General features: G+C 35.2%; 1 protein-coding gene across 6 annotated transcripts in view; it reads left to right on the top strand.

Moving 5' to 3' along the window:
- The window catches only part of GAREM1 (GRB2 associated regulator of MAPK1 subtype 1), a 207,361-nt gene that overhangs the window by 139,257 nt on the left and 67,268 nt on the right, over positions 1-836 (top strand). The window lies entirely within an intron of this gene.

The following is an 836-nucleotide window of genomic DNA, read 5'->3' as shown; positions in this document are numbered from 1 at the left end:
GTGAGGCCCAGCAATCTGTTTTCACGGTCTTCTGGGTGATTTTGAGGTATACTAGTGCTTGAAAACTACTAGTGTATGTGACTGCTGTAGAACTGTACTATGTGTTGCCTTATTTTCTTATGTCATATACAGGATTAATATTTTGCTTCCACACTGAGATAGTAAGTCCACTATTTTGCCCACATATGTGTTTTTACATAGTGTTAACATTTAACAGTTTAATATACATTTGGATAAATCGCTGAAAGCTATTTTAGTAGTTTTTACCTCCTTCCATATGGCTAATAATTTCATCTTGATCTGCTTAGGAATTCATAGTATATGTAGAGAAATGTTAAACTCTTCACAGCCTCTGACACCAGTTGTGAGGTTCCCATTAGTAGGGAGTACAGTTTAAGAAAGGGTATAACTCCAAACCCATTTTTTGTCGGGTTTTTAAGTATGAGGGAGAAATGTTTTTGAAATTTTAAACTGTTGCTACCCACCAAAGGAATAATAATAGAATATAATAGAATTAAAGAGGGAAAAAAACCTATAATTATCTATGATGTCAGTTTTCTAGAAATGATCAGAGAGAAGGAGGAACAGACTTTTTGTGAACTACAGCGCTTGGTTTGGTTGTGAGGTTAGGATGTACTTATGTCAGAGCATGTCTGTGTAGCAGCCTATATGGAACTGTAAAGAGTGCTGGAAAGGCAGTCATTTCAAGAAAGAATGTTTTAATTTTTTTATCAAATGCAGTGCTTGGCTGTAAGACCCTCAAAATGTTCCCTTCTTTCCTCCTTCCCTTTTCTCACCTTCTGTTTCCTTCCTGATATATTAAATAAATGTTTAAA

The sequence above is a fragment of the Homo sapiens genome, chromosome 18 (genome assembly GCF_000001405.40).
Source record: "Homo sapiens chromosome 18, GRCh38.p14 Primary Assembly".
Lineage (NCBI taxonomy): Eukaryota > Metazoa > Chordata > Mammalia > Primates > Hominidae > Homo > Homo sapiens.
This window is presented reverse-complemented; position numbering and strand designations above follow the sequence as displayed.